The sequence below is a fragment of the Homo sapiens genome, chromosome 11, assembly GCF_000001405.40.
Source record: "Homo sapiens chromosome 11, GRCh38.p14 Primary Assembly".
Taxonomy (NCBI): Eukaryota; Metazoa; Chordata; class Mammalia; order Primates; family Hominidae; genus Homo; species Homo sapiens.
In genome coordinates this window covers 120003316-120030461 of record NC_000011.10, presented here as the reverse complement: position 1 = coordinate 120030461, position 27146 = coordinate 120003316, and the positions used below count along the sequence as shown (strand labels likewise).

General features: G+C 48.5%; 1 long non-coding RNA gene across 2 annotated transcripts, besides 2 other annotated features; it reads right to left on the bottom strand.

The window, feature by feature from the left end:
• Positions 1-1466: 1466 nt before the first annotated feature.
• Positions 1467-3709, bottom strand: LOC105369527 (uncharacterized). Of its 2 annotated transcripts, none has more exons than XR_948085.4 (2): positions 3260-3709; positions 1467-1622 (listed from the first exon to the last, which is right to left on the bottom strand). It is a non-coding gene; the product is annotated as an uncharacterized LOC105369527 (long non-coding RNA). The 2 variants fall into 2 exon arrangements; XR_948084.4 differs by lacking the exon at positions 1467-1622 and adding an exon at positions 2866-3043.
• Positions 6902-7403: an enhancer, noted in NCBI's record as "NANOG hESC enhancer chr11:119893768-119894269 (GRCh37/hg19 assembly coordinates)". NCBI's record gives its function as "activates a minimal SCP1, AML or CMV promoter by ChIP-STARR-seq in naive and primed H9 embryonic stem cells {active_cell/tissue: H9 hESC(naive and primed)}" and the evidence as "EXISTENCE:reporter gene assay evidence [ECO:0000049][PMID:30033119]".
• Positions 15940-16545: an enhancer, noted in NCBI's record as "H3K27ac-H3K4me1 hESC enhancer chr11:119884626-119885231 (GRCh37/hg19 assembly coordinates)". NCBI's record gives its function as "activates a minimal SCP1, AML or CMV promoter by ChIP-STARR-seq in naive H9 embryonic stem cells {active_cell/tissue: H9 hESC(naive)}" and the evidence as "EXISTENCE:reporter gene assay evidence [ECO:0000049][PMID:30033119]".

Genomic DNA, 27146 nt, shown 5'->3' with positions numbered 1-27146 from the left:
CCCCTGTTCAGGTTGGCTTAAGGCATCTCACCAAGTCTGCTGCCTAAGCAAATGGCCTACTGCTGGAGAATGGGGTTGGTCTCTGAATTCCCTCCCTGTAGGTTTTCCCAGTCTCTAAATGAGTCTTGATATGGTTTGGCTCTGTGTCCCCACCCAAATCTTATCTCAGATTGTAATCCCTACATGTCCTGGGAGGGTCCTGTAATCTCCAAGTGTCCAGGGAAGGAGGTGATTGGATCGTGGGAGTGGTTTCCCCCATGCTGTTCTCTTGACGGTGAGTGAATTCTCTGGAGATCTGATGGTTTCATAAGGGGCTCTTCTCTCTTTGCTCTCTCTTCTCCCTCCTGCCACCATGTGAAGAAGGTCCTTGCTTCCCCTTCTCCTTCTGCCATGACTGTAAATTTCCTGAGGCCCCCCCAGCCATGCGGAACTGTGAGTCAATTAAACCTGTTTCCTTTATAAATTACCCAGTCTCAAGTATTTCTTTATAGCAGTGTGAAAATGGACTAATACAAGTCTCTTTGAGCTGCAACCCCTCCCCGAGGCCTGTGGTCCACATATCAGCAGACAAGAGCAAGAAGCCATGGCATTTGGGCTAGCCTCTTAGTAAGCCACAAGGAGTGGTCAAGGCCCAATTGTTTTATGGTATAGGGTTCTTGATGCTCTTTGTTTTCAGCTTTGGGTCTTAGTTATCTACTCTGGGATAGTCAAAAAAGGTAGAGGTGCAGCCCAAGTATCCAAGATCACTGCCCCCAGAGGAAGCCGGATGCTTGAGGACCAACTCACTCCTCACAGCACAGGGATGGCCTGGCTCACCCTTTGATTGGGTTCACTTCTCCCTGCCCCTACTGAGGGAAGAATGGTCCTGATTTCCCACCCTCCCCAGATGAGCAGGCCTGGACAGGTCAGGGGTTTCTGAATAGGCCACACCCCTCAGGTGTGCCCATCGCCCATGCTGCCCAGGAGCCCTGGCTCCTCCTCTTTTTCCCTGCCCCTGCCTGACACTTCTCTTCTAGATCCTTCTGCGAGTTTGCCACTAGGACCACCTTTTGTTCTTGGCCTCCCGGGACATTCCTCCCACCCTTTAATCCACAGCCCCATTGCCTTCCAGAGTTCCCTGCTGCCCTGCTCCCTGGACTGCTCTTCTGTCCTCCAGCCCTGGTTCCCTCAGACAAGCTTGGCTCATCCAACCCGGGAAAACTCCTGGTGCACTCAGGCTCCATCACGCCAGTTCCATTTCGGAGGCTCCAACCCGAGGGGCTAAGAATGGGCAGGGGAGAGGGTGCCTAGGGGAGAGGGTGCCTTGTGCACTGTGACTCCTGGCCACAGAGCTCACACTCCATCCTGCTGGGTGACGGGTCCTTCCCGCGGATCCACCAGAGGCCCTACTTGCTAGAACTGAGCTCACTCTCTCTCGCACAAATATGCACACAGATACAGAGAAGCCAGTGCACAGGGAGGTTGTAGACAGGGAGAAAATTATAAGGTTCATTTAGAAAGCAGTAAAGAGGGGATTTCAATTTCCTTTCAAAATCACAACACGATTATTCTTCCATGGTGACTTCTGCAGGAACACTGAGATTCTGCTCTTGGACCCAGGGCACTGGCGTTGGGGGAGGCTGCTGGGAAGACATTAGGTGGGGGCGTCACATGTGAGATGACTTCACCGAGGGAGCGGGTTGTGGGAGCGAGGCATGGAAGGCTGTGTGTGGGAGGGGTCAGGGAAAAGGTGGAGCTAGGGCAACTGTATGGGTGGACTCAGGGATGGAAGATGACAAGACACCTCACATGAGTGTCTGCGTGCATGTCAGGGGCTGGACCGGAGCCATGCCAGCAAGGTACTTCAGGCACAAAGTTAAGGAGGCATAGCTCTCAGATTTGTGTAAGTGGGTACTATTTGCACAGGATGCCGGCTGGGTTCTGCACCATTTTTGAGGGGACATTATTTTATCTACTGTTATCTCATGATCGCCCCCTCCTCTCCTCTTCCATCTCCCGCCATGGGTGCTTAAAAGCAAACACTAGAAATGTATCTGGAAGAGGAAAGGCAGTAGGTGAGCAAACATCTGTCCATTTGTCAATGAAAAGAGGAAGTGGGTTTAAGTAACAAATAGAGGGGATTAAGGTAGATATCACAAAGCACTTATATTGAGGACTTTTGAGCAGAATTATGGAGGAAGACCCTCAGCTGAAAGGCAAAGAATACATTATAGCTGCATGGGGAATGGTGCTGACTGCAGAGCCAGACAGACTTGGGTTTGAAGCCTGGCAACTGCTACTTTTTAGCTGTGTGACAATGGCAAGCCACTGGACTTCCCTGGGCCTCTTCTATAACATGTTGATAAAAATATGAACTGCACAGGGTTATTGTGAGGGATAATGAGATAGGTTAGAAAGCGCTGAGATTCTCATGAGATCATTGAACGTGGTCCTGCCCTGAGGAGGGCAGTGGGAGGAAGTGATCTTGGAGTAAGGTGTGAGCTCCTTGAAGATGGGCTGAGCCTGCACCTGTGGAAGCCCTGGGTGGCTGTGCAACCAGCTTTTGCTGTTAGATGAATGCAGAGCTGGACTGCCCTTTGTCAGGACCTCCTGTCTCTGGCTTCTGAAGATCGGCTGTTAAAGCTGTGGTCTGGGGAAGGGTTCCTGCAGAGGATCCAGATAAATCACATGACCTCCGTGCTACCCTGTGGAGCTAAGAGCAGGTTGGGGCCGCTGGCTTGGGGCCCCCAAGTGGGTGGGACTCCTGACAGTTGAGGACGAGGTAGTGGCACCTGCCTGCTCGGCAGTGGAAGAACACCCGACCCCTTTGCGACTACACAGGCTGGCTCTGCTTGATGTCGATATGCTTAATGATTTGTGACATGATTGATACAGAAAGCGAACTTGCTATATTCCATCTGTTGAAAGGGAAATGGTGGCAAAGTGGCACATTCCAGGGAAAATCAGGATGCTGAGTGGAGCACGCTGGTGGGGCACTGGGCTGGGGTAGGGGAGTAAGAGGACAGATTCCAGCAAGATTGAGCCTGTGTCCAGCCGGGGCAGCCTAGACACGGAACCAGAAAAAGACCAGACATCAGGAAGAGCGTGAGGTGGGGGATCGGGGAACTATTCAGAAATTAGGGGCCCAGGGGACTGGAAGCCCTCACTTCCCTCTGTGCCTGCTCCTGCGGGGCTTGGGGCAATTGGAGAACACCTCTGTGCTTTTGCCCCTGTACCAGATATAGACAGCGTCCGCCTAGGACCCACGTATTCCCCTCACCACTTCTGTGAACCGTGGCTTTACTTCTGCCTGCTCTGCTGGTCAAAGTGTGTCCGGAATTAGTGGGTTCTTGGTCTCACTGACTTCAAGAATGAAGCCGCGGACCCTTGTGGTGAGTGTTACAGTTCTTAAAGGCGGCGTGTCCGGAATTTGTTCCTTCTGAGGTTCGGGTGTGTTCGGAGTTTCTTCTTTCTGGTGGGTTCGTGGTCTCGCTGACTCAGAAATGAAGCTACAGACCTTCGCGGTGAGTGTTAACAGCTGTTAAAGCCACGCGTCTGGAATTGTCGTTCCTCCTGGTGGGTTTGTGGTCTCGTTGGCTTAGTAGTGAAGCTGCAGACCTTTGCGGTGAATATTACAGCTCATAAACGCAGTGTGGACCCAAGGAGCAAAAGAACAACCCCCCCCCCGCCCCCGCCCCAACAGCGTGGGAGCAGACCCAAGCTGGTTGCCACTGTGAGTTCAGGCAGCCTGCTTTTATTCTATTATCTGGCCCCACCCACATCCTGCTGATTGGTCCATTTTACAGACAGCCGATTGGTTTGTTTTGACAGGGTGCTGATTGGTCCGTTTTGACAGGGTGCTGATTGGTGCGTTTGCAATCCCTGAGCAAGACACAAAAGTTCTCCACGTCCCCACTAGATTAGCTAAATACAGAGTGTGGATTGGTGTGTTTACCAACCTTGAGCTAGACACAGAGTGCCAATTGGTGCATTCATAATCCCTTAGCTAGACATAAAGATTCTCCAAGTCCCCACCAGATTAGCTAGACACAGAGCGCTGATTGGTGCATTTACAAGCCCTTAGCCAGACAGAAAGATTCTCCAAGTCCCCACTAGACTCAGGAGCCCAGCTGGCTTCACTCAGTGGATCTCGCACCGGGCCGCAGGTGGAGCTGCCTGCCAGTCCCACGCCGTGCACCCGCACTCCTCAGCCCTTGGGCTGTCGATGGGACCGGGCGCCGTGGAGCAGGGGGCGGCGCTCGTTAGGCAGACTCAGGCCGCGCAGGAGCCCACGGTGGTGGTGGGGAGACTCAGGCATGGTGGGCTGCAAGTCCCGAGCCCTGCCCCGCGGGGAGGCAGCTAAGGCCCGGCGAGAAATCGAGCGCAGCGCTGGTGGGCCAGCACTGCTGGGGGGCCCGGCGCACCCTCCGCAGCTGCTGGCCTGGGAGCTAAGCCCCTCACTGCCCCGGGCCGGCAGGGCCGGCCGGCTGCTCCGAGTGTGGGGCCCACCAAGTCCACGCCCACCCGGAACTCTAGCTGGCCCGCAAGCGCGGCGCGCCGCCTCGGTTCCCGCCCGTGCCTCTCCCTCCACACTTCCCCGCAAGCCGAGGGAGCCGGCTTCGGCCTCGGCCAGCCCAGAGAAGAGCTCCTACGGTGCAGTGGCGGGCTGAAGGGCTCCTCAAGTGCGGCCAGAGTGGGCGCCAAGGCTGAGCAGGAGCCGAGAGCGAGCCAGGGCTGCGAGGGCTGCCAGCATGCTGTCACCTCTCAAAAGCTTGCACCTGCAGCCTTCAGAGGATTGCTCTGGGGCACCTGAGGCCACCACAGCTGGACGTGCCTGGGTGTTTAGCACCCTCTCCCCTTCCCCCATCCCTGTAGAGTGCAAGGATAGGAAAGTCCAGTGCCTTTGCCTTAAGATGGGAAAAGAATGTCTGTGATGTAATTCACACGCCAGGGCTTTCCATGGTTGAGGCTTTTCAGGCTGAGGCTACGACTTCCCTGAAATCACAGCCTTTCTTGTCTTCTTCCCCTTCCTTGTTCGGGAGGGGCCCACTACTGGCCCACTAACTGTTTGGTTCCTTCATGTAGCATTCCTCTGATGAATACCTTCCCCAGGTATCCTTTGCTCAGGATCTGCTTCTAGGGAATCCAACCTCAGTTGGCTCCTAAGCAAGTTCAGAAGTAGGTAATAGCGACAGCACACATGCTTTTTTTATTTTTAAATTTTAGAGACAGGGTCTTGCTCTGTCACCCAGACTGGAGTGCAGTGGCACCATCATAGCTCACTGCAGCCTCAGATGCCTGGACTCAGGCAATCCTCCTGCCTCCGGAGTAGCTTGGACTACAGGCATGCACAGACATGTCTGGCTAAATTTTTTTTTTTTTTTTTTTTGTAGAGACAGGGTCTTTCTGAGTTGCTTAGGCTGGTCTCAAATTCCTGGCCTCAGGCAATCCTCCAGCCCCAGCCTCCCAAAGTGCTAGGATTACAGACCTGAGCCACTGTGCCCAGCCAGTATGCACACTCTTTAGTTTATATCAGTCATATAGCATGACCACCTGGCCAGGATGGTCAGGTCCCAAGTATCCATGCCAGTGGCTGGAGACAGCGAGGCTGATAATCCCAAGCTATGTAGGAAGTGTATGCTCATGTGCTTGGGCTCGCCCCAGGAATGGCTCTGCGAGGGTTTCTGTGGCTTCCCACCCAGGTCCCACTTTCTGCCTCTTCCTGCCAAAAGTGGACTTGCTTTCCTGTGTCTGCTTTGCTCGGACAAATATGACTGTGAGCTAGCATTCCCTGAGCATGCACTGTCTGATAGCCTGAGTAGAGGCAAAGCTTGCTGAATTACGGAATGTTCAAAGTAATGTAGTCTGGCCTTCTGCTTTTGCTTAGAAACCTGCAGTGCTGCGGGACTCAACCTGGATAGTCCAGAGAGAATCTGCCACAGACAGATAATTGAGAATTCACTGTAAATGCAAACAGGTTCTTAGGACACAGCATTTTTTGCTGGCTCAGACTTCTTGAATAGGAAAGAAAAAAGATATATCTTCTTTCCAGAATACTTGCCTACTCAGGCACAGAGGGTGAGTGGCTCATTTGTTCACCCCCAGGATAAACACCTGCTAAGCATCCATTGTATAGGCTTCTGCTGTTCCGACTGCCCAGCCTCCGCTCACCCAGTGGGATGTTGCTGCTCTCCAGTCTCTCTCTGAAGAAATCCTCTTTCCTCACTCCCTTCCTTGTAGGAGGCCCTGACTCCCCCTCCAGGGGTAGGCGTGTGATCAGGCCTGGCCAATCGGAGTGCTGTATCTCCTAGGCTCTTCCTTCAAGGATGGACACATGACAAATTTGGACCAGTGAGAGTGGCTTTGAGTTTTTGACTCCTGGAGAAACAAAGCTCTAACTTCAACCTGCTGGACATTAATTGGTGAGGATATGGGTCTGGAACGCTGAGCAACCACAGGGAACTGGAGAAGAAACCAAAACATGGAAGAAAGATGCAACAAACAGAAAGACCACGCACGTACTGATGACATTGAGCCCCTGAACCCAGCTGTGCCAGGAGTCAGACCCTGGCATTTTCAGATCTATGAATCAATGCACTTCTTTTCACCTGGGATAGTTTGGTTTCTTTTGTTACTTTTAAACAAAATTGATGCAGAAGTTGATTCCAGGAGTGGAACGTGCAAGTGGCAAGTCACGCGTACGTTGTTGGCTGAGTGGAGTGGAGGTGTCAGGTGGTGAGGACTCACGGACCCTGGCTGAAAGGTTGGAGCTCTTGCTAAACAGAAGTGACCTTCAGTAAGGTCCTATTAAAAAGTGACAAGCTTAGGTTGAAAATGGCTGGTTTGAAAGCAGGTGGCATTTACATTAAGCTTTACTGAGAGAGGCACCTCTTGCCTATGACCTGAAATTCACAGCAGCCAGAAGTATGGAGGAATGCAGCGTTGGAAAGCTAAAGGACCGATTCCAACCTAAAATTAGTGTGCATAAAGGCAGGAAAGCAAGCAACCTGGGGACACACTGATCCCCTAGACCCTTCCCAAGCACCTCCTGTGATGAGCCCCCCACTCAATGCAGGGGATGTGGCTGGAGTCAAGGAGCCAAGTAATCCCCTCCCCTCCTTCAGGCATTGTTTCAAATTGCCTCCTGGAGGTGGAGTCTCAGATGGATGCCGGTAAGCTGTTGGCTGGGGGAAGGGCAGAGCACTGCCCAGGTTGCACATCAAAGTCAATGGCTCAGTGAGGGCTGGGGCTTCAGGTACTAACCCATGGGGAAGGCTAGAAGTGGACACCAACAGCTTGCTAAAGATCTGAGAGAATTATTCTACAAAAGAAACACCAAATCTGCCAAATAACCTAAGATGCCCATCATTTACTTAAGATCTGAGAGAAGTTTTTTACAAGAGAAACACCAAATCCGTCAAATAATCTAAGAAGCCCATCATTTAAGGCAATCAATCCTCAGGTCCCCACTACCCCATCCAGTAGAGAGCTGCTTCCCAGAAGTTGCATCTTCCCTGTCGCCCATCCCAAATGTGGGCTTGGGAGAGACAGTGGGCAAGGGAGCTCTCCTGGAAAATACGCTGAAGGACAAAGAACCTTGCTTCCTGCCAGGTACTGAGAGCACTGCCGCTGTGCTGTGGGCGGGTGCCCTCTGTGCAATTCTCCTTTAATTGAAGTTATTCTGCTCCTCCTCTACCATTCTATGCTGTTGACATTTCAGGGGACAGGGACAGGGTGTTAATTGTATAGGCTGGTGCAAAAGTAATTGTGGTTTTTGCCATTGAAAGTAATGGCAAAACTGCAATTACATTTGCACCAACCAAATATCATCTAGACGATGGTGGCCTGGCCATAAGGGGCCACATTTGGAACTGGCCAAGAAAAAGGCATATTTTGGGGGGCAGAATTATAACGTGTTTAATGCATGAGTTCTGGAAGCCAACTGCTTCCTTCGTTCCCTCACTTTTTCACCTCATACTCGTGTGATCTTGAGCAAGTTACTTCACATCTTTGTGCCTCCATTTTCTGTTCAATAAAAGGGATTAGTAATGATGTTTATGCATTTTGGATTGTCTCTCTTTGGCTGCCATCTTGCTACTGCCTGGGCAGGAGATGGAAGCTGAGTGCAGGGGAGAGGTGGGGTGAGGCAGGAGTGGTTGACATCATGTGAACCCCAGACTCAATTGTGCCTGAATTCGGCCTACGCCTTCTTGGCCACTTTTATGGAGAATACATTTTCTGTGTACTTAAGAGAGTCTGATGGAGTTTTTATGACTTGCAATAAAAAAAAAGGCCAGTTGATATACGAACTGTGTGTGTTAACCACTGTATATACAGCCTTGGCTCTCAGGAGCTCTCAGCCTAGTGGGAAGACAGACACGTAATGCAGCGTGGAGAGAATTGAGATAAGAGAGGTCTAGGGGGCCATGAACACATAGATGGAGAGTCTCTAATATAGATATTGGGATCCTAGAAAGCTTCCTGGAATAGGTAACATCTTGGCTGAGTCCTAAAGGAATGGTCAGAGCCAGCGGAAGAGGGCAGGGGAGAGAGCACACAATCCCAGGTCCATCTCCCAGTCACTGGAGATTTCAAGGATGGGCTGGAAAACCGCTTGCTTGGAATGTTGAATGGAGGATTTATGCCTTGACCAGGAGGTTAAAGCAAATCCTTTCAGTGGAGAATACAGCTCTTGGGCTCTGCTGTGGTTCCTGCCCCAAGGGGACGTTGACCTCTAGGGCCTTATCACAACCTGGCCTTTGGCCTGAGAATGTGTTTTGTTTGGCCCATACCGTATTTCAAATTTTTTGGATTTGTTGTCGATATTTAAAATTGAAACAGTTTACAGAAAAGCTTGAATTTTTGGCTTATCTTGAAAAATCAGGAGGCCTGATTACACTGGACATTACCAATCATGTGGGAATGTAGGCCCTGAAGCATGGTGCTCCTCTTACACAAGACTTGTGCGTTCCTGGGTCCACCCCAGTCCCCACCCCTTCCTCTTGTCTCTCCGTGGGCCCACTTCATCCACTTACTTACCTTCCCTAGTAGGCCTCTGTAGGAATTTGAATTTGTGAACCCCATTTTAGACTAAGGATTCACTGGACATGTATTAGGCTGTATGTGCCAGTGGGTGATGCCCTAGAGGATGAAATCAACCCGAGTGCATGAATGCCCCTCTCTGGTTCCTTTTCCACTGGTGCTGGTGGATGTGGCTTACGTAGGAAGAGCAGACTCTGAGGCTTGGGCTTGGGCACCAGGAGCAGGAGGAGGGGTTGGGGCTTATCTGTTTTTATGGCTTTCCAGGCTGCCTGGTCTAGCAATGGTGCTGTCACATGACAGTGTCCAGCTCTGACCAGAGTTCTGCAGTGGGTTGAGGACAAAACTATGTCTGATAAAAACATATTTCTTTGTCTTGCTTTTCCTCCTTTGTATCCATTCCATCTCTTTAAGGATTCTTCTTGGGGATAGTTTTCAGTTATTCCTGGGTAGCCAGGATGGAGTCCATCATAATAGCATCTTTGTGTGTGTGTGTGTGCGTGTGTGTGTGTGTATTCTTCTTTTAATTTTTTTTTGACATTTGTTCTTTTAATTACAAATTTGGGTTAGATTTAAATGTTATTAATTTAAAGGTGTTTCTCTAAATCCAAAATTAAGGTTGTTTGTAATAGTCTTATACGTGGCATTTCCCCAACTCGACTGAAGTATAATTTATAGACCTATTTTATGTGTGTAGAGCTCAGTGAGTTTTGACAGATGTTTTCCCTTATGTAACCACCACCACAATCAAGATATAAACATTTCCATTACCCCCTGGCTTCCCTGGTACTCAGTCCTACTCAATCTCCCCACGACTCATGGTCCCAGGCAATCACTGATGTACTTTCTTGTCGCTATAGATTAGATTTCTCTTTTCTAGAGTTTTATATAAATGAAATCATATAATATATACTCTTTTGTGTCTGTCTTCTTTTACTTGGTGTATTTTTTTTTTGAAATTCATCCATTTTGTTGCATTTAGTAGTTTGTTCCTTTTTCTCCTGAGTAATATTCCATTGATTGTATAGCTATGCTAGGATTTATTTATCCATTCACCTGCTATTGATGGGCATTGGGGTTGCTTCCAGCTGGGGGTATTACAAATAAACTCGCTATGAACATTCATGTATGAGTCTTTATGTAGACATATGTTTTCGCGTCTCTCGGGTAAATATTGAGCAGTGGAATCGTTAGGTCTTAAGAGAAGTGTTATGTTTAACATTTTAAGAATGGGCCTATTTTGCCAAAGTGGTTTTTGCACCATTTTCTGCTCCCTCCAGCAATGTAGGAGAGTCCACCTAAAGGAGCCATGCAGGACGTACACAGTGCTCCCCATCCTTGCCAACATTTGTAATTTCATTCTTTAAAATTTTAGCCCATCTAATGAGTGGGTAGTGGCATCTAATTGTACTTTTAATTTGCATTTCCCTGATGACTAAAGATGTTGAACGTCTTTTCATGTACTTATTGGCCATTTGTATATCTTTTTGTGCATCATAGCATCTTAATACCAACTCTCCCAACTTCTAAGAGTCAATAGAAGATTATACAGAAAATTAATACACAGTCTAGCAAGTCAGTTCTATGAAAAGGACTGATAAAAAGCTGCCAGAGAGCTCACATCCAATCTCTGAGCTGAATGTGGAATGCTGGGATTCTGTCATTTTTTCCAGAACTAGGCAGCTGGGGAAAGTGACAGGCAGGATTCAGACCTGTTCGTGTGATGCAAATGGTTCAGGGTGTGGCTGGAGGCTGCCTCCCCTGCAGGCCAGGTACCTGTGGGGTGGAGGCTTGATAGAGTGGCAGACCTGGAGATGCATCTCCTTTCATTAGGTTTGCTTGCTCCTGGGTATAAGTTCTGAGCCTGCCTGGGTATAAGCCTTTCTCCTGGGTATAAGTTCTGAACCTGCCTAAGTCCACTGAAGCCAACTTTGCCCTTGGCAGCAGACTCAGTATAAAACAGGTCCTGACCTTCTGTCTCCCCATTGTGGTGGGAGTGGGGCTGAGGTACACAAACATGCCCAGATCTCTCTGCTGACTGTGGCCCCATGCAGCGGGGAAGTGGGAGAAGAGGGCGCATGAACTGATGGTTGGACCAAGTTGAGCGAGGTTTCTGCCGTTGGGTGTGGAGACATAACCTTGACATCACTCAGCCTGCCGGCATCATGGCTTTAACTCAGTCTGCATGACCTGTTTGACCTGAACTGATCAGCTCCAGCAATTGACCAGTCTGCTGCATCTGAAAACTGCTTTGATTGATTTTTTTTCAATGACTAGGACTTTTGTCTGACTGCATCAATGAAAGTGAAATTTGGCTTCAGGAAGACTCAACTTAAGTGTGGAATGTCTTGTTCCCTTTGTCAGATTGGCTTATCTTCTACTCCAAGAGCTCACAGATTTGTCATACGCGTCAAAGTGCTGGAGTCTTCTGCCACTAATTGGCTGTATTCTCAACATGACACAATCAAAACGGTGTTGGTTTTGGGATGTTCTGAAACCTAGGCTTAGTCACAGTTCTGTCTATAAGCTGTGTGACCTTGGGCAAGTCACTCTTTAGACCTCAGCTTCCTCTGTAACATGAGGGCAGTAAAATTTACCCGACGGTATTGTTTTGATGATTAAATTTGACAACGGACGTAAGATTGAGGTGTGCTTGTCATTTTTAATGGCACTGGGTTTCAAGCCTCTGTCTCTGAAAATGGAGTAGGCTGGACTGGGTCACCTCCCAGGCCTCAGCCTTCTCATTCCTGTATGACTCTGGGGAACAGAGCTATGTTTTTATCCAAATCACAGAGTAACTTTTCTTCACAGCATGCTACTGAGTCTCAAGAGGGGAGGACACACTATGGTATGTAACCCCCAAAATCCAGATTTCTATAAGTAAGAAGAAATTTGAGCCTTAATGATAGCCAATTTAACACCTACAAAGTGCTACCCCTGGGCTAAACTACTTTCTTCTTCCTGCCACCTCTTCAGGCAGCAGCAACATCAAATGGATCTATTTGCTCAAGCAAATCCCCTATCAAGACAAAGGCAAGTCTTGGATTCAGTGGTTGCCTCTGTCACAAGGAAGTACCTTGTGGTGCCTCAGTTTCCCTTTCATATCAGGAATTCTTCAGGCCTTGCTCATTCCCTCCCAGGTGGCAGAGCTGTGAGTTATCCTCTCCAGTGCCCTCTGAAGCCCTCCAATGGGAGTTGGCAGGATGAGTGGCAAGAATTATTAATTAGTGAAAATATGTGTAATCACATAATTGGAGTGTATAATTGATGCTTCACTGCTGCAGGCAGAAATGGAGGGATGCAGAGATGAAAGCCAGGAAGAAGGAGGCTGCCATAGATCCCAACTGCTGTAAATGCAGGAGAAATGCAAAGAGTTTAGCACTCCTGGTACCCTGCAAAACGTGGATGGAATAAAGGTCATGTGCTGGGGAACAAAACAGCACAAATAAACAGCGGATGAACAGGACCTTAGTACTCGTAGCCGACACAAATAAAGCTGCTTTCCCCAGGAGACCGCTTTGTGCCCACATTTTGAGGCTGCTGTGTATTTCTCTCTCTCTCTCTTTTTTTTTTTCAACAGCAGCATCAGATTTCTAATGAAAGAGCTCAGCCGATCATCATCGCTGCAGTAGCAGAAAAGAGATGATAACAATCTCACATGTAGCCCGGCTTCCTGAGCTGCCCCCTTGGATTTGCATATCTTTGAGTCCTCAGTGCTCTCTCAGCACCCAAGCAGAGCTTCCATTCCCTCTCTGGTCCCAAGGTCCTGGGTTTTTATACATAAGTCGTGACATCTGGGATCTATTTGTTTCAGGGCTCATTTGTTGGAAGAGGAGGAATAAGGTAGTGACTGAAGAGTGTCTTCTCAGTATATTGCACTCAGATTTTCCTCTACCTGATTGAGGATGTGGAAGGAGGGTAATCGGGGGATGGGAAGCTGAGGCAGGATGGAACAGAAAACAGGTGTGGGTGATTCTTGGAAGGGGGATACAATAATAACAACAACAATAACAACAGCAAACACTCCCATCTGCTGACTGTTGAGACCAATGTCAGGCTCTGTGCTGGAGGTGCGTGGTCTGCACAGCTCATAGAGTTGTCACACACCTCTGTGCTCTGTGAGGCGGGTGCTGGAATTATCCTCATTTTATAGTGAAGGAAATGAAGCCAAGGGAAGAGAAGTCACTTGCCCAAGGTCACCCGGCTGATAGATGATGGAGCCAGGCCTCCAATCCAGGTCTTCCTCCAAAGCCCACGTTCTGTAACCCACCGGCTCTGCTCATCCTGGCACATGGTATTATCAGTTCTGCTGCCACCGCCACTGCCACTGTAGCCACCTCCACCTGTGTTTGTGCTTCCTGCATGAGCTCCTACCAACCCCATAGGCTTGTTGTCAGGATCAAGTGAGCTGATACTTATTAAGTATCTTGAACAGTAGTTGGTCCTTTATAAGCATGCAATGAATGCTAGTTGTTATTTTTTCCTAACATGCTGTTATTATTTATCTGTGGCAAAACTCTGCTGGGTGCTTCAGAACCATACAGGCGAAACAGACGAGTCCTCACCCTCCTGGGATCTTACATTGGGAGAGAGGACAGACACAGAAAGAGAAGAAAATGTCATGTTTGATACGCATCAACTGCATGGCTCACAGTAAAGTCCAGCATGAGGAGTGACCGACCCTGCTTGAGTTGAAGGAGGGCTCCATGGAAGAGGTGAGGTATGACCTAAGGCTGAAGCAAAGGCTGAGTTTTTAAAGTTTAAGATGCAGTGTGTGAGGCCAAAGCACAGATGGAAATCATGACCAGAATGTCAGTGTCTCCCTCTACTCTGCACCAGGCACTATTCCAGGTACTGAGGATGCAGCAGTTACAGCAGCTTTGTAGAAGAGTGCCTGGTACAGAGTAGAGTCTGAAAAGCCATATGTTGAAAGAATAAATAAGAAAAAGGAATGTTAATAGGAAATTGTGATGGGATAAGATCAGCAGACTGATTTGGCCAGAGTAGAGAGTGGGTGGTGGGGACTGAAGGAGAGAAGGGGGAAGCAGCATTTAAGCAAATATTGAAGAATAAATCAGATTTGGCAGGTGTATAGAGATGAAGGAACTGCATTAGGCCTGACGTGGCTTCGGACGAATGCCTGGAACAACCGGTGGGAAGTTCAAGATGTTCCAACCTGGTATGTTTTTCCCACCCTTGACACCTGGAATAGGAGGTGGAAGGGGAGTAGGAGCCTGCTTCAGAGCAGAGCTCAGTTCCCCAGGCTGGTCTGGAGCACAGAAATAGCAACGGCAGCAAGTGGACACCTGGTTCCCTTACCCTGCATCCCATCAGCACACATGTCCCCGTCACGACGTGCAGTCCACAACATTCATCTGCTTCGGTTGATGGCAGCATCTCCACCTTGCCACAGGCTGGTCTTAGCTAACTCCTTGCACTGACTGCTTGGCATCTTTAGTCTAAGCAACTGCTCAGTGGACTCAGTGTTCCTGCTTTCTGATAGCCTGCTGGGAATTGTGCAAGAATGGTCTGTGCATTTGTCAGTAAGTGTTAGAACTCCTCATGTGTATCCCCGGCTCCCAAGTTGGACCTTTTGCTCTTGGAGGAGGAGGGTCTGTTCTCCATTTTCTCTGCTAGTTCTCTGCAGCAGGCCTGAAATAAGTGATACTGAGCAATTGATTGGAAAAAAGAAAGTTCCTGTGGTTACGGTGCACCCAAGCTAATGCTTTCAAATTGAGTGTGGGTAAACTTGGAGAGTGTGGGTTAGACTCGGAGCAGAATCATCTATGAGTTGATCCCAGTGACACATATAGAAGATTAAATGTTGGGGTAAGGAGTGATAAAAGTGGAAAACATAGTGACATTTTCCTATTACTTTCTCAGATGAGACTTTGTCTTAGGAGGTTGTATGGGGGTAGAAGTAAGAAAATTATTTGAAGCTGACAGATCTGAATTTAGTGTCTGTTACTTACAAGTTGATTGATTTCTGCAAAATTCCTTTAACCCAGTGGTTTTCAGCTGGAGGTGATTTCACACTCAGAAGGCATTTGGCAATGTCTGCAGACATATTTAGTAGTCACAACTGTGTGTGTGTGTTGTGGGGGGGGGGGTAGTTACTGCTGTCATCAAGTGGGTAGAGGTCAGGAATGCTGCTAAACGTCCTACAAGGCATAGCCAGCGCCTGCTCAACAAAGAATCATCTGAACCAACATGTCAGCTAACGTTGAGAAGCCCTGCTGAGCATATTGAGCCTCTGTTTCCTCATCTGTAAATTGGGGTGAAGAGCAGCAAGCTAGAAGGATTAAATGTAGTAGGGGTGATCCCTGGAACATCGTAGACCCTCCACACAGTTCCTTTTGGTCCCCTCTCAAGGCACTTCTTCTTTCTGGGTGTGGAGAAGTTGGGGAGAATTCAAAAGTATTGCCAAGCTAATTACAGGGCAGAGAGTCACGTTCTGAAGGAACATGAAAAGTACTGGGATTCTTTAGCCTGAAGAAGAAAGGTGGCTTAAAGGTGATTTAATAATAGTGTGAAAGCCTAGGAAGGGTTATTATTTAGGGGAAGATAATCCACTGCTCTCCATCTTCACTGAGGAATGAAAATGAGCCCTGAGCAGGGTGGAATTGGGCTGGATATGAGGCAGGACTTCCTGCCTGTGGAGGTCCTCTGAAGAAAGAGGCTTGATGGCTTTATGTGTGTGGGAGGAGCTGTGGGCATGGCAGAGGCTGGTGTGTGTAGGGAAGCACAATGCTGAGGACAGCTCTGTCTCTGCCCTTAAGGAATTCATAGATTAGTCTGGGGTATATGGGGAGTGATGCAAATGCCACAGGCAAAGGGCTCCAGGAGGCCAAAGGTTTAGGGGATAAGAGAAGGAAGAGGAGGAGAGGCAGGATTTGAAATGGATCCTGAAGATATGTCAGATGTGGGCAGATGAAGAGCAGAACCAAGAGGCAGGGGAGGTAGGCGGGAGATGGGAAGATGTGGCTGTGTTGGAGGATCAGTGGTGAACCCTCCAGGAGATCTGGGCCAGATCATGGGTGCCCGGGGATGCCAGGTGAGGGGTTGTCCTGTGTTCAAAGGGGCAGGGGTCTGGGCAGGAGAACGCTTTCTGGAAGCTGTGTAGTTTGGGCTGGAGGCAGCCTGTGGGGCAGGAAGGGCGCTGAGAACTGCGGCCTGAAGACTTAAGTCACAAGAGAGAGGTGATGAGTGTGGCAGCAGCTGGCAGGGTGCGGGTACATCCTCTCTGGGGCCTGATTTCCTGGGTGGGACTCTGGTCTTTGGTAGGCAGGTTGCTCCAGGTAGGCAGATTGGCTCCAAGCGGGGCCACCCGCTGCTCGCAGCACCCTGGAGCCCATCCCGAGTGTGGGGTCCCTTCCTCTCCACTCTGGAAACCTGGGGCACAGCTGGCCGCCCTGATGCCACCGACGGCTCTGCTGCTGCAGGGACTCTGCTTGTGGGGGTGTGCGAGGCCCACTCCGGCTGCCCTGGGTACCTGTTCTCCCTTGGTGTTTCCTCTGTGCTTCCTGCCGTTGCCTGTCTGGTGCCGAAGCCGGCTGGGCTGCCCCCCTCAGTGGTGATGCTGGTGGAAAGGGGGTGTAGGAGTAAAGGCAGGAGCCGGGGGGTGGGGCCTGGGGACGCAGAACTATCTAGGCTTAGTAGGGCTGCTGACAAAGTCCCCCATCTTTGCCTGCCACATCTGTCTCTGAGTCTACACAGACCCCTCCGCCACTGATAGTGCCAAGCCCCTCCAGGGCTGCTCCTGCACCCCCCAGCCTCCGGCAACAGGCAAAACAGACTGCTCTGAGCAGTGGCTGCTGCTCCCCGGGGTCCATCCGAGCACCGGCAGCAGCACAACTTGGCAGCCGGCACAGCCCCGGGCAGGAAGCTCCTGCAGGGGGACTCCGCGGAGGCCTGGGTGAGAGGGGAGGGGCTGCAGTGAAAGGCCTGTGAGTTAGGGTGGCCCTAAGGGAGGACTTTCTGGCCCTACATGGAAGTTGGTGCAGTGCAGCGTCCCCACCACCAGACGGTGCATGGGCGCCTCCTAGGGACCTTGGCAAACACAGATATTCCCAGGCCCAGCCACACCTGCCGAGTCAGGATTTGGGGGCATTGGGCAGAGCTCCACCTACCCTCATGTCCAGGAGGCCAAGCCCTTTGTCCCCTCAGAGGACACCCGTTCAGAGGCACTCTTCTCTGACATGGGACAGCAGCTGCGGACGGTTGCTGGAGGCAGTCTGATGCGCCTCCGCGTTAGGAAGATTGGGGTTTGTTCCGGGTCTGTGATATTAGTTCTGGGACTATTGTCAAGGTGCAAAACTGTACCGAGCTTCATTTTCTTTATGTGTAAATGAAGCTGTCAGTACCTATTCTACAGGATTACTTTGAGGATCAGTGAAATAGTGTAGTGTCTCTACATGGTTGGTTTTTAACAATTAATATTCTTTCCTTTTCCGTGCCCCAGGGCCAGGACTCCAGTGAGCCCAACCTGGTGTTTTCCAGTGTTTTCAGGAGGCATTCATTCTCAGGGGCCCACCTGGGCTTGTGGAAGCCCGAGAGTGTGTATCTCCTTGAATTTTGCACCCTGGATGCCTTCCTTGCTCACCCTGGACCCAGCCCTGCCCTGCTTTTGAGCAATTTGTATTCTTGGTTTAACAAAGTGTGGAGAGGACCCTCAAGGATCTCAGAACCTACTGGATGAGGCAGGAAAATAAAAAGACACAGAGTGTGCTGTGTGATCAGCAGAGATGAAGGTAAGTCTGGGAGGATGGGGACCTGGGGCAGCCTCTAGCCCCGACAGGGGAGGGGGCCAAGATGATCAAATTAAGGGAGACAGGGAGGGGGCTGAGAAGGTGACAGCAGAGCCAAGATGAGCAGATGAACCAGCATGAGTTAACTAGCATCACAGACTCTCCTGTAATGGGATCCCAGCCCGGTTAATCTCCACCATGGGGAGGACATTTGGCCTGTGCCCACTCTGAAAGCCTACGGTTATGCCTATAGGATGCCAACCACTTGCACAGAGAGCACAAAGCTCACCAGATGCTTCCAAGGCTCAGAGGGCTGGCCTCACACTGGTGCTGGCCCACATTAGCTAGCACGCGGCAGTCCCCGGGGGGTCTGGGAAGATCCCCACCGAGGGGCAAATTCCCCTAGTCACCCTACAGCAAGCCCATTAACTTCTTGTTCCTCGGGGAGTGAAGGCACTGTGATTGTGAGTCATGCCACTCCCCAATTATTTTGAAAGAAAGCTTCCTTAGTGAAGGAGGAGAATTACAGAGCAGCGCCAGCGTTGGGGAAACATGCTCAACTTCCAGCAGTCATTCCCGCTCGCCTCCTTTCTCTTTGCTCGAGGTGCGTATGACAAGAGCTTCCAAACAGCTTAAGCACAGGAAACTCTGGGAGTGTGTGTGTCTATATCTGAGCGACTTTCATCTCTCCATAGGTTCAGTCTGTCTGCAAAGCCTCCCTTGTCAGCAGCTGGCGAGGCAGCTCAACAATAGAATGATGCTTGTTTCACCGCTTCCAACTGAGCTCCCTCGCCAAGCTCTCTCCCTCCAGCACAGAGAGGTGCATCTGCAATAGACCTGAGGGCTGGTGGTGGGGTCTTCAGCAATGTTTTTTCCAGCTTGATGCTCAGCCCAGAAAGAGCCTTTCCTCTCCACCTGCTGCCACAGAGCCCACCACCACCTCTGGCTGCTGCCTTGTAGAAATTCCAGCTAGCTCCAGTGGAAATCTCTGGGCTGGTGATAAATGCACAGTGGGGCAAGGCTGCCTGGGGATGGGGAGATTGTAGAAAATGACTTCTGGAGTCCTCTCCAGACTTCCATCATTAGGACAATTGTTCTCAGGGGCTTTGAAGTCTCTTGCTGTTTTGCGCCATTTTCTTTCTATAGTAATGGTCAGATTCTTCAGGGCTAGAAAGAGTTTGAAGGCCATCTGGTCCACTCTCATTTCTCTCCCCTCCAATGCCTTCTTCTCTCCCCTTTCCATGTTTAAATCTCCTCTACAAGTTGGGCAACGTTTCACTTATACCCTTACAGCTACAGGATGCTCAGAGGGTCTCAAGGTCCCTGGCTTTTCTTCTGTTGAGCTGGAGTCTGTCCACATTGGGTTGATAACAACTGGCTCTGCTTTTACCCCATGGAGCAACAGGATGGAGTCTCAGCTCTCCCCTCCACGACAGCCTGGCTCCTGCTGAAAGGCGACTAGCATGAAACCCCGAGGCTTCTCCTCCAGGAGAACAAGGCTGACTTCCTTGAACTCCTCCTCACATGCACAGTTTTAAGTCCGTTTGACTGGAAACGAACATTTGAAATCCATCTCGATTCAGACTTCCTCCTTCTGAGGGATTTAGTAGACAATATGACAGCTCCGAGTCCAGCATGTGGGTTTATAAAGGTGACATCATAGCTGCTGCCCCCAAAGTATGTCATTTAGCGCTGAAAGCCTTGTCTGGCTGGTGGTGTTCAGACCCATGGGAGTCAGTCAGCTGCTGGAGCACTCACTGCCCAGAATCCCAGGCTTCGAGGGAGGTACGAAGGAAGAGGAGGCCTGAGCCGGCTCGTGTGGGGCCCTCAGATTAAGGCAGGCTGGAAGAAACACCAGAAAGAGACTTAATGACATTCATAAAGGAGCCCAGAGGGCTGCAGTGAAGCATGTGCAGATGCTGGGGCCTGCCCAGGTAGCCTGTGCAGAGGCTTCCAGAGAAAGCTGGGTCAACTTGCAAGAGAAAGTGGAGAGCAAGAGGAGGAAGAGCTTCCTAATGGCAGAGGTGGAAGCCAGAGATTCAGTAGTGTGAAGGACGCTGAAAAGGCAGAAGGGGTGAAAAGGCTGCGTATGTGTGGGCGGGGTGGGGTTAATAGAAAATTAGAGGGGTGAGGTGGAGAACTTATCGGGACTGAACGTGTAGGGCAGGCTTTTCCAGAGGAGGAGATGAGACTTGTGCCTAGAAAAACATATTATTAGGAAGAACACTCCCTTTTAGTTTGTCTTTTTTTTTTTTTTTTTTGCTTTTTGTGGATAAAAGAGTCTCACTATGTTGCCCAGGCAAGTTTCAAACTCCTGGGCTCAATCTATCCCCCCACCTCTGCCTTTCTAAATGCTGGGATTACAGGCATGAGCCACCGGACCTTTTGTCTTCCAAATGGGACACTGCTGAATCCCCAGGGACATTGTCCTCAAAAGACAGTAAGCCACTGAGGTGTGAGCTTGGTGGAGTCCACCCTGCATTCTGGGTTCTTTGTCCTCCAGTGTGTACAGATATGTCTGGCCACCAGCACTTTCACCGATGCCAAGATGAGAAATGTTTTCAAGGGTTCCCAGACAGCCTTACCAGGAAATCACTGTTGGCAGGAGAATCAACCAGTCTTTTCAGGTTACAGTGGCTGCTAGGGAAGAATTACAGGCCAGGAGAGGCCTCCGCTTGGGCCACCTTTTTGCTGATGAAGTGGCAGCAGACCAAGCTACCTTCACTCCATGGAAATACAACGCACACCTGTTGGCTCTCAGGTCCTTTCCAGAGAGATCAGCTCTTTGGGGAGCTGCATCCCAGCACGAGAGCATTCCAATTCCTTCCCTCCACCTCTGTGCCCGATTTCCAATTTGTTGGTTTTTTCCATTTCATTTCCCTCCTGTTCACCTTTCCTCCCTGCGGGATCATTTGGGGCTTTGATTTCCTTTTGTCAGAGTGAGCATTTCCTTCCTATTACACCGTCCCTCTCTGCCCCTACTCCCATGACTTTGTTTAATTCAGCTGCTTTCTGCACCTGGCTCTGCCTCACAGCCACGGGGAGGGAAGGATTACAGCCAGAAAGCGCGCTTCACCTCCCCGCACATGACACTCGTCTCTGCTAATAACAGGAAGAAATGAGCTTTAATGACTGACACCGCTGTGCCTGGACTGGGGACTTGGAGAAGGCAGTCCCTGGTGGTCTGCCCAGTATCTTGGCAGCAGGATGCTGGGAGAGCCCCAGAAGCCCTGGCTGCTGGAGGTCCCAGCCTCTCTCCCTTTGCCTCCAGGAAGGATAGCCCCACAGCCACTTGACATACTTGACATGGATGAAGGGTGTGGGGGTTGGGGGGGAGGAGGAGAGAAGTGGTAGCCTCTCTAAGAACTGCAGAAAAGGAAATCCTATGATCTGACTTCCATGCTACCAGTTCTGGGACCCTCCTGTGGGAATTAATTGCTCTAACCTAAACTTTGCCCACTGTAGTTTTAAATGAGTTTGCCCTCAGATGTGAGTAATCTGGCCGTCTTATCTTTCACTCCACTGACCTCCAGGGTTGGCCTGACAGGTCAGGTGGGGGGTCCTTATCTCCTTCCTCACTTTATCCATCTCACTCAGGTCTTCGGTTCAGGCTCCACAACTGATTGATGCTGTTTTCCTGTTAGTATCTCTTTTTCATCATGCACGATCCTCCATAGTGATGGAATGGAGACAGCTTCTCAGAGAAAGCACAGCTTTGGAAGGTAAGTGCCGTTTGGATGGTGAGACCATCAGATCAATTTAACTAGGCCAAGACTCTGATCAATGTTCTTAAACCTATGTAACCCACTGCCACAGAGATTTCAAAGTGAGGAAGGGTCCTGGACGCCCATTCATCCATTCTCAATGAATTATTCATTTGACCAGCACTTTCTGACTTTCTAGCTTCAGCCAGACACCGTACAAGGGACAGGGGAGACTGAGATGAAGAACACTCGGTGCTTCTTCCCAAGGCACTCGCAATCTCGGAGAAGACAGATGTGTACTCACACAGATGCATATGCTACAGCACTGTGTGATGATGCTATACATGCACAAAGTGACCGGGAACAGAGCGGCCGTCCCTGGCGACTCAGGGGAGGCATCACACGAGAGATGACTTTAGAACCGGGCCTTTAAAGGAAACACAGGATCTCTGCAGCAGTCAAGAAGGGGAAGAGAAGACTTGGTGTTAAAAAATCATGGGTTCAGGACATACTGCCCCACAATATGGCACTTTGGCATGTTGAATATTTTAAGCTAGAGGAATTTGAGAAAACAGCAGAAGCAGGAAGGTCCCCTGAGGCGGTCCCCTGAAGTGGTCATAAACTTTGGGAAGGACTCTGACCTTCTGAAGCAGGTCATAAGACCCTCGTGTGAGAGTTGCCCTTCCTGTAGCTGGAGGAAAGGGGCATCCTTATCTCTCAAGACAAAAGGAGACAGAGAGGAATCCAGAAAAACAAGCCTTGCTAAGCTTCCCCAGTTCACCACACTTACATTGTACTCTCTGCCCTGTGATATTTCTCCATGACTTTCCCCTCCTTATCAAACCTATTATTAAAAACACTCCCATTTAACTGTTTCTTCAGATCCTCATTTCCTTATGAAGGCTCTCTCGTCACATAAAACTTGTATTAAATAAATTTGTAAGCTTTTTCTCTTGTTAATCTGTCTTTTGTTACAGAGGCCCCAGTCATAAATGTAGGAGGTATATTAGTCTGATCTCACACTGCTAATAAAGACAGAGTAATTTATAAAGAAAAAGAAGTTTAATGGGCTCATAGTTTTACATGGCTGAGGAGGCCTTACAATCATGGCGGAAGGCAAAGAAGGAGCAAATATACATCTTACATGGCTGCAGACAAGAGAGAGTGAGAGCCAAGAGAAAGGGGAAACCACTTATAAAACCATCAGATCTCATAAGACTTATTCGCTACCACAGAACAGTGGAAACTGTCCCCATGATTCAATTATCTCCCACCAGGTCCCTCTCTCAACATGTAGGAATTATGGGAACTACAATTCAAGATGAGATTTGGGTGGGGACACAGCCAAACCATATCAGGAGGATAGAAGGAAAAGATGTTTTTTCCTCCCCTAAAATAGTTTAGGGCAGCAAGTCAATTTCAATCACTTTTCATCGTGTTTACCTCAATGCAAAGAGATCCATGTGTGAAAGGTTTATGAAATTACAAAATATGTCATTAATTCTTTCAATCAGGTGATAAATGTCTTCAACATACCCAGCTCTGTGCTCTGGGTGTCTTGCATGTGACATTAGCTGCTATTCGTAAAAACTGGGGGCGTCAGGCCACACAGAAAGCCCACGTCATTTATATCTGGAGTCAGGCAAGCCGTCCACCCCTCACTGAGGCTGATGCAGAAATCTTCCAGGAAAGGGCTCTGCTTATTTTCTGAGTCTCAAATTCCCAGGGGTACCAACTGTGTTCTAGCTCAAGTTTTAGAGACAAGGAGAACATAAATCCATCCAACTATGGGGCCAGGGGAGTTCTGATTTTGGTGTTTGCTCTTTAATCAATAGCATTATGCTTTTCTATGGAAAGGTCTTAATTTGATACTTTCCCAGAGGAGTCATTGGTTTGACGTGGACATATCACAAACTTCCTGACTACCATGGAGACAGGGCCGGCTTCCCAAAGGAATGGTGATTCTGCTTTCTTTACTTTTCCTTTGTATCAAAAGCCAGGAATGAGCTTGGTTTTCATCATAGCTTCAAAGGTAAGAGCTGGAACAGACCCTGGTTAGTTCACCCTTCTACCCCTGGAAAGACCACACAAGGCTCTTGATAGGCCACCATAGCCAGGCAGAAATAGTTTCTACTGCCAAAGAGAATCCGTGATTTTCTTGTCAGAAGAGTCTGAAATATCACCCTTGGTTAAATTTCAATAATTCAAGCTGCAATTTGGGTTGTTCCTTCACATTCAGACCTGGCAGACCCATCATTGAGGAGTTAGAAAGACAGCTCCCAAGGCTAGGGAGGGTGTTCTGGGCGGGGTGGTTGTTACCTGCTGGCATCGTTGCTGAAGAGCGGAGTCCGCATTCTCAAGCTGCAGCTCAAAGAGAAATGGCTGCGTGGTGTTCATTCAGCTATCTTTACCAACGACCTCTTCCCTGAGAGGCCTTCCCTGATTACATACCCACGGTGTCCTCAATCCTACTGACCTGTTTTATTTTCTTCATAGCACTGTGATATGGTTTGGATGTTTGTCCCACCCAAATCTCATGTTGAAATGTGATCCTCAGTGTAGGAGGTGGGGCCTGGTGGGAGGTGTTTGGGTCGTGGGGGGCAGATCTCTCATGGCTTGGTGCTGTCCTGTGAGATCTGGTTGTTTACAAGAGTGTGGTACCTCCCTGAATCCCCTTGCTCCCACTGTCCTCCATGTGATACATGGGGTCCCCCTTTGCCTTTCACCATGATTGAAAGCTCCCTGAGGCCTCCCCAGAAGCTAGACAGATGCTGGCACCATGATGTACAGCCTGCAGAACCATGAGCCAAATAAACCTCTTTTCCTTATAAATTATTCAGCCTCAGGTATTTCTTTATAGCAATGCAAGAATGGCCTAACGCATGCTGCTAGCTAAAATCATTTTATCAATATCCATTTTCCCCACTGGAATGTCAGCTCCGCTAGGGCAGCAACACTGCTTTGTTTGTTGTGAATGAACAGTTGATGACAGAATATGAAAAGCCTTTGCCTAGACTCTGAAGTATAAACTAGATACATATTTTCCTGAACTCATAGTTACAAGACCAAGTCCTAGTCATTTCTAACATGTTTTAGTTGAACCTTTGATCTCACCAAGCCTTGTTTTCTCATCTGTGAAATGCAACCCTACTTTACAGGGTTACTGTGAGGATTACACAAGATAATATATGTGGAAAACCCTTCCTACATTCTAAAAACTATGTAGACATAAAGTGTAGCAGGTATCTCATATTTATCTGTTCATCGTTTTTTCCACTGAGGATCCACCAGTCCCCAGCGTTCTATTTGGCCTGTCAATCACAACATCAGACCACAGAGACAGGCATGTGACCCAGGCCTGGACAGTCCTCCCCTCCCTTGGGACAGTGATTGGTCCAAGAACCGAGCACATGATCCAAATAAGGCCAACTAGAGTTTTCCCTGAAATATATATTAATGCTAAGAGAACACAAATCTATGAATTGAGTTGAAAGCCATGTTCCCTGTCACAAGGGAGGAGAAAAACAGCCCTTCTGCAGGTGAAGCAGAGAAACAAACAGAAATGAGATGAGAAATCAATTTCTGATGGTCTCAAGTCCTAGTTATAGCTCCTGGTTATTGAATACCTGAAGGTCTTTCTTGACTCTCCAAACACTTAGTTTTTTTCCGCACTGTGTAAGCCAACATTTTCTTAATTGGTTTGAGCTGGTTTTTAGTCCTATGCAACTGAAAAGTTATTCCAGGTCATTCACGTATGTGTTCATTTATTAATTTAGTCATTAATATATCTAGCCAAGATTTATTAAACGTGGGACGCCTTTGTTGTATAATAAAGAATTTAACTGACTCTTGGTCCCCGGGAATAAGCTTCGAAACCCTTGCGATTTCCTGAGTGATAGAAGTGTCTTTGTTATTCGTGTGGGCCCTTGGAACACACCTGAGTTTCTGCTAAGGAGATGACTCAAGATGAGGCTGGTCATGCCAGAAAGGCCAACTGTGTGTTTACAGGGTTGGAGCTTTCAGCCAGGTGATATCAGCTTGACCTCCTCCAGGCAGGGGAGCTGAGATTAATTTCAGTCACATGGTCAATGATTCAATCAATCATGCCTATGTAATGAAACCCCAGCAAAAACTCTGGGCGCCAAAACTCAGTGGAGCTTCCTGGTTGGTGAACACATCAGTGTGTTGGTGATGTGTCCTGATTCCATGAGGAAAGGACATGGAAGTTTGCATTTGCCCTGTGTGTCTCTTCCTTTGGCTGGTCCTGATTTGCATCTTTCATAAGGAAACTGTGATTTTAAGTATGCTGCTTTCCAGAGCTCTGTGACTCAACCTAGTGAATCCTAAAACCCGAGGAGGTTGGGGGAACTCCTGAATTTGTAGCCAGTTGGTGAGAAGTGCAGGTGGCCTGGGGATCCCTAAGCTTGCAGTTGGCATCTGAAGTGAAGGCAGTCTTGATGGGGACTGAACCCTTAGTCTATGGAGTCTGCGTCAAGTAGTTAGTGCTAGAATTGCATTACAGTATTGTAGCCATGATATATATGATTCAGTCATTCCACTCTAGGTATTTATTTACCAAAGAGAAAGGGAAACAGGGTTTTTCATCAGGTGAAAGACTTGTAGAAGGATGCTCACAGCAGCATAATTTTAATAGTCCAAATGTGAAAACAGCCCAAAATAGGTGAATAGATGAATAAATTATGGTATATGCAATCAATAGAACACCATACATTAATAAAAAGGAATTAATAAAACATGCAGTAACACTGATGAATCTCAAAATAACTATGCTGAGTGAAAGAAACCACACACAAAAGACACATATGTACTATAAAAGATACAAATGAACCATATGTTTTCATTTATATGAAACTCTAGGAAACACAAAGTGATCTATAGTGGCAGACAACAGATCAGTGGTTGCCAGCAGAGGAGGGGTTGGGAGGGGTGGGAGGGATGGCACCAGTGGAGAAGAGGGCAACTTTTTAGGGGTGGTGATGATGTTCACTATTTTGGTTGTGGTGATAGTTTCACAGGTGTATATAAATGTCAAATCTTATCAAACTATACATTTTAAATATGTGCAGTTTATTGTATGCCAATCATACCTCAATAAAACTGTTACACATAACACCATGGTAGGTCCTCTGAAAGGGCTGGAAGGTTTCCTCCAATATCTCACCAGTAACTCAGACACATTATATCCAAAATGGAGTTTCTTTTCTGCCCTACCTCCAATTTGCTTTTGCTCCTGAAATTTCCTCTCCAGTTTAGGGAACAACCATCTACCCAGAACCCAGAAAACTGAGAGGCATCCTGGACTTTTTACTCTTTTTCCACCAACAGCCAATTGGAAATTAAGTTCTGGTGATTCTCTTTCCTCAACATCTCTTAATCCAGCCTCTCCTCTCGAGCCTAGTTTAGGTCATTATTTCCCCAAATTTAAACTCTTGCAATAGCCTCCTGACTACTGATTTATCAGCTTCCAGATGAATTGCCCCCCACCAGCTCCCATCCTCCCTTTTAACCCCTGCCCATAGTATCCATCCTTTATGCTTTTATCAAAGGCAAACCTTTGTAGAACCCATGTATGATCTCAGAGTTGCCTTAATACACATTGTTTTCTTCCAGATATAAAATAAAAACTAAAATATTCTCTTTTCTCTTTGTCTAAATA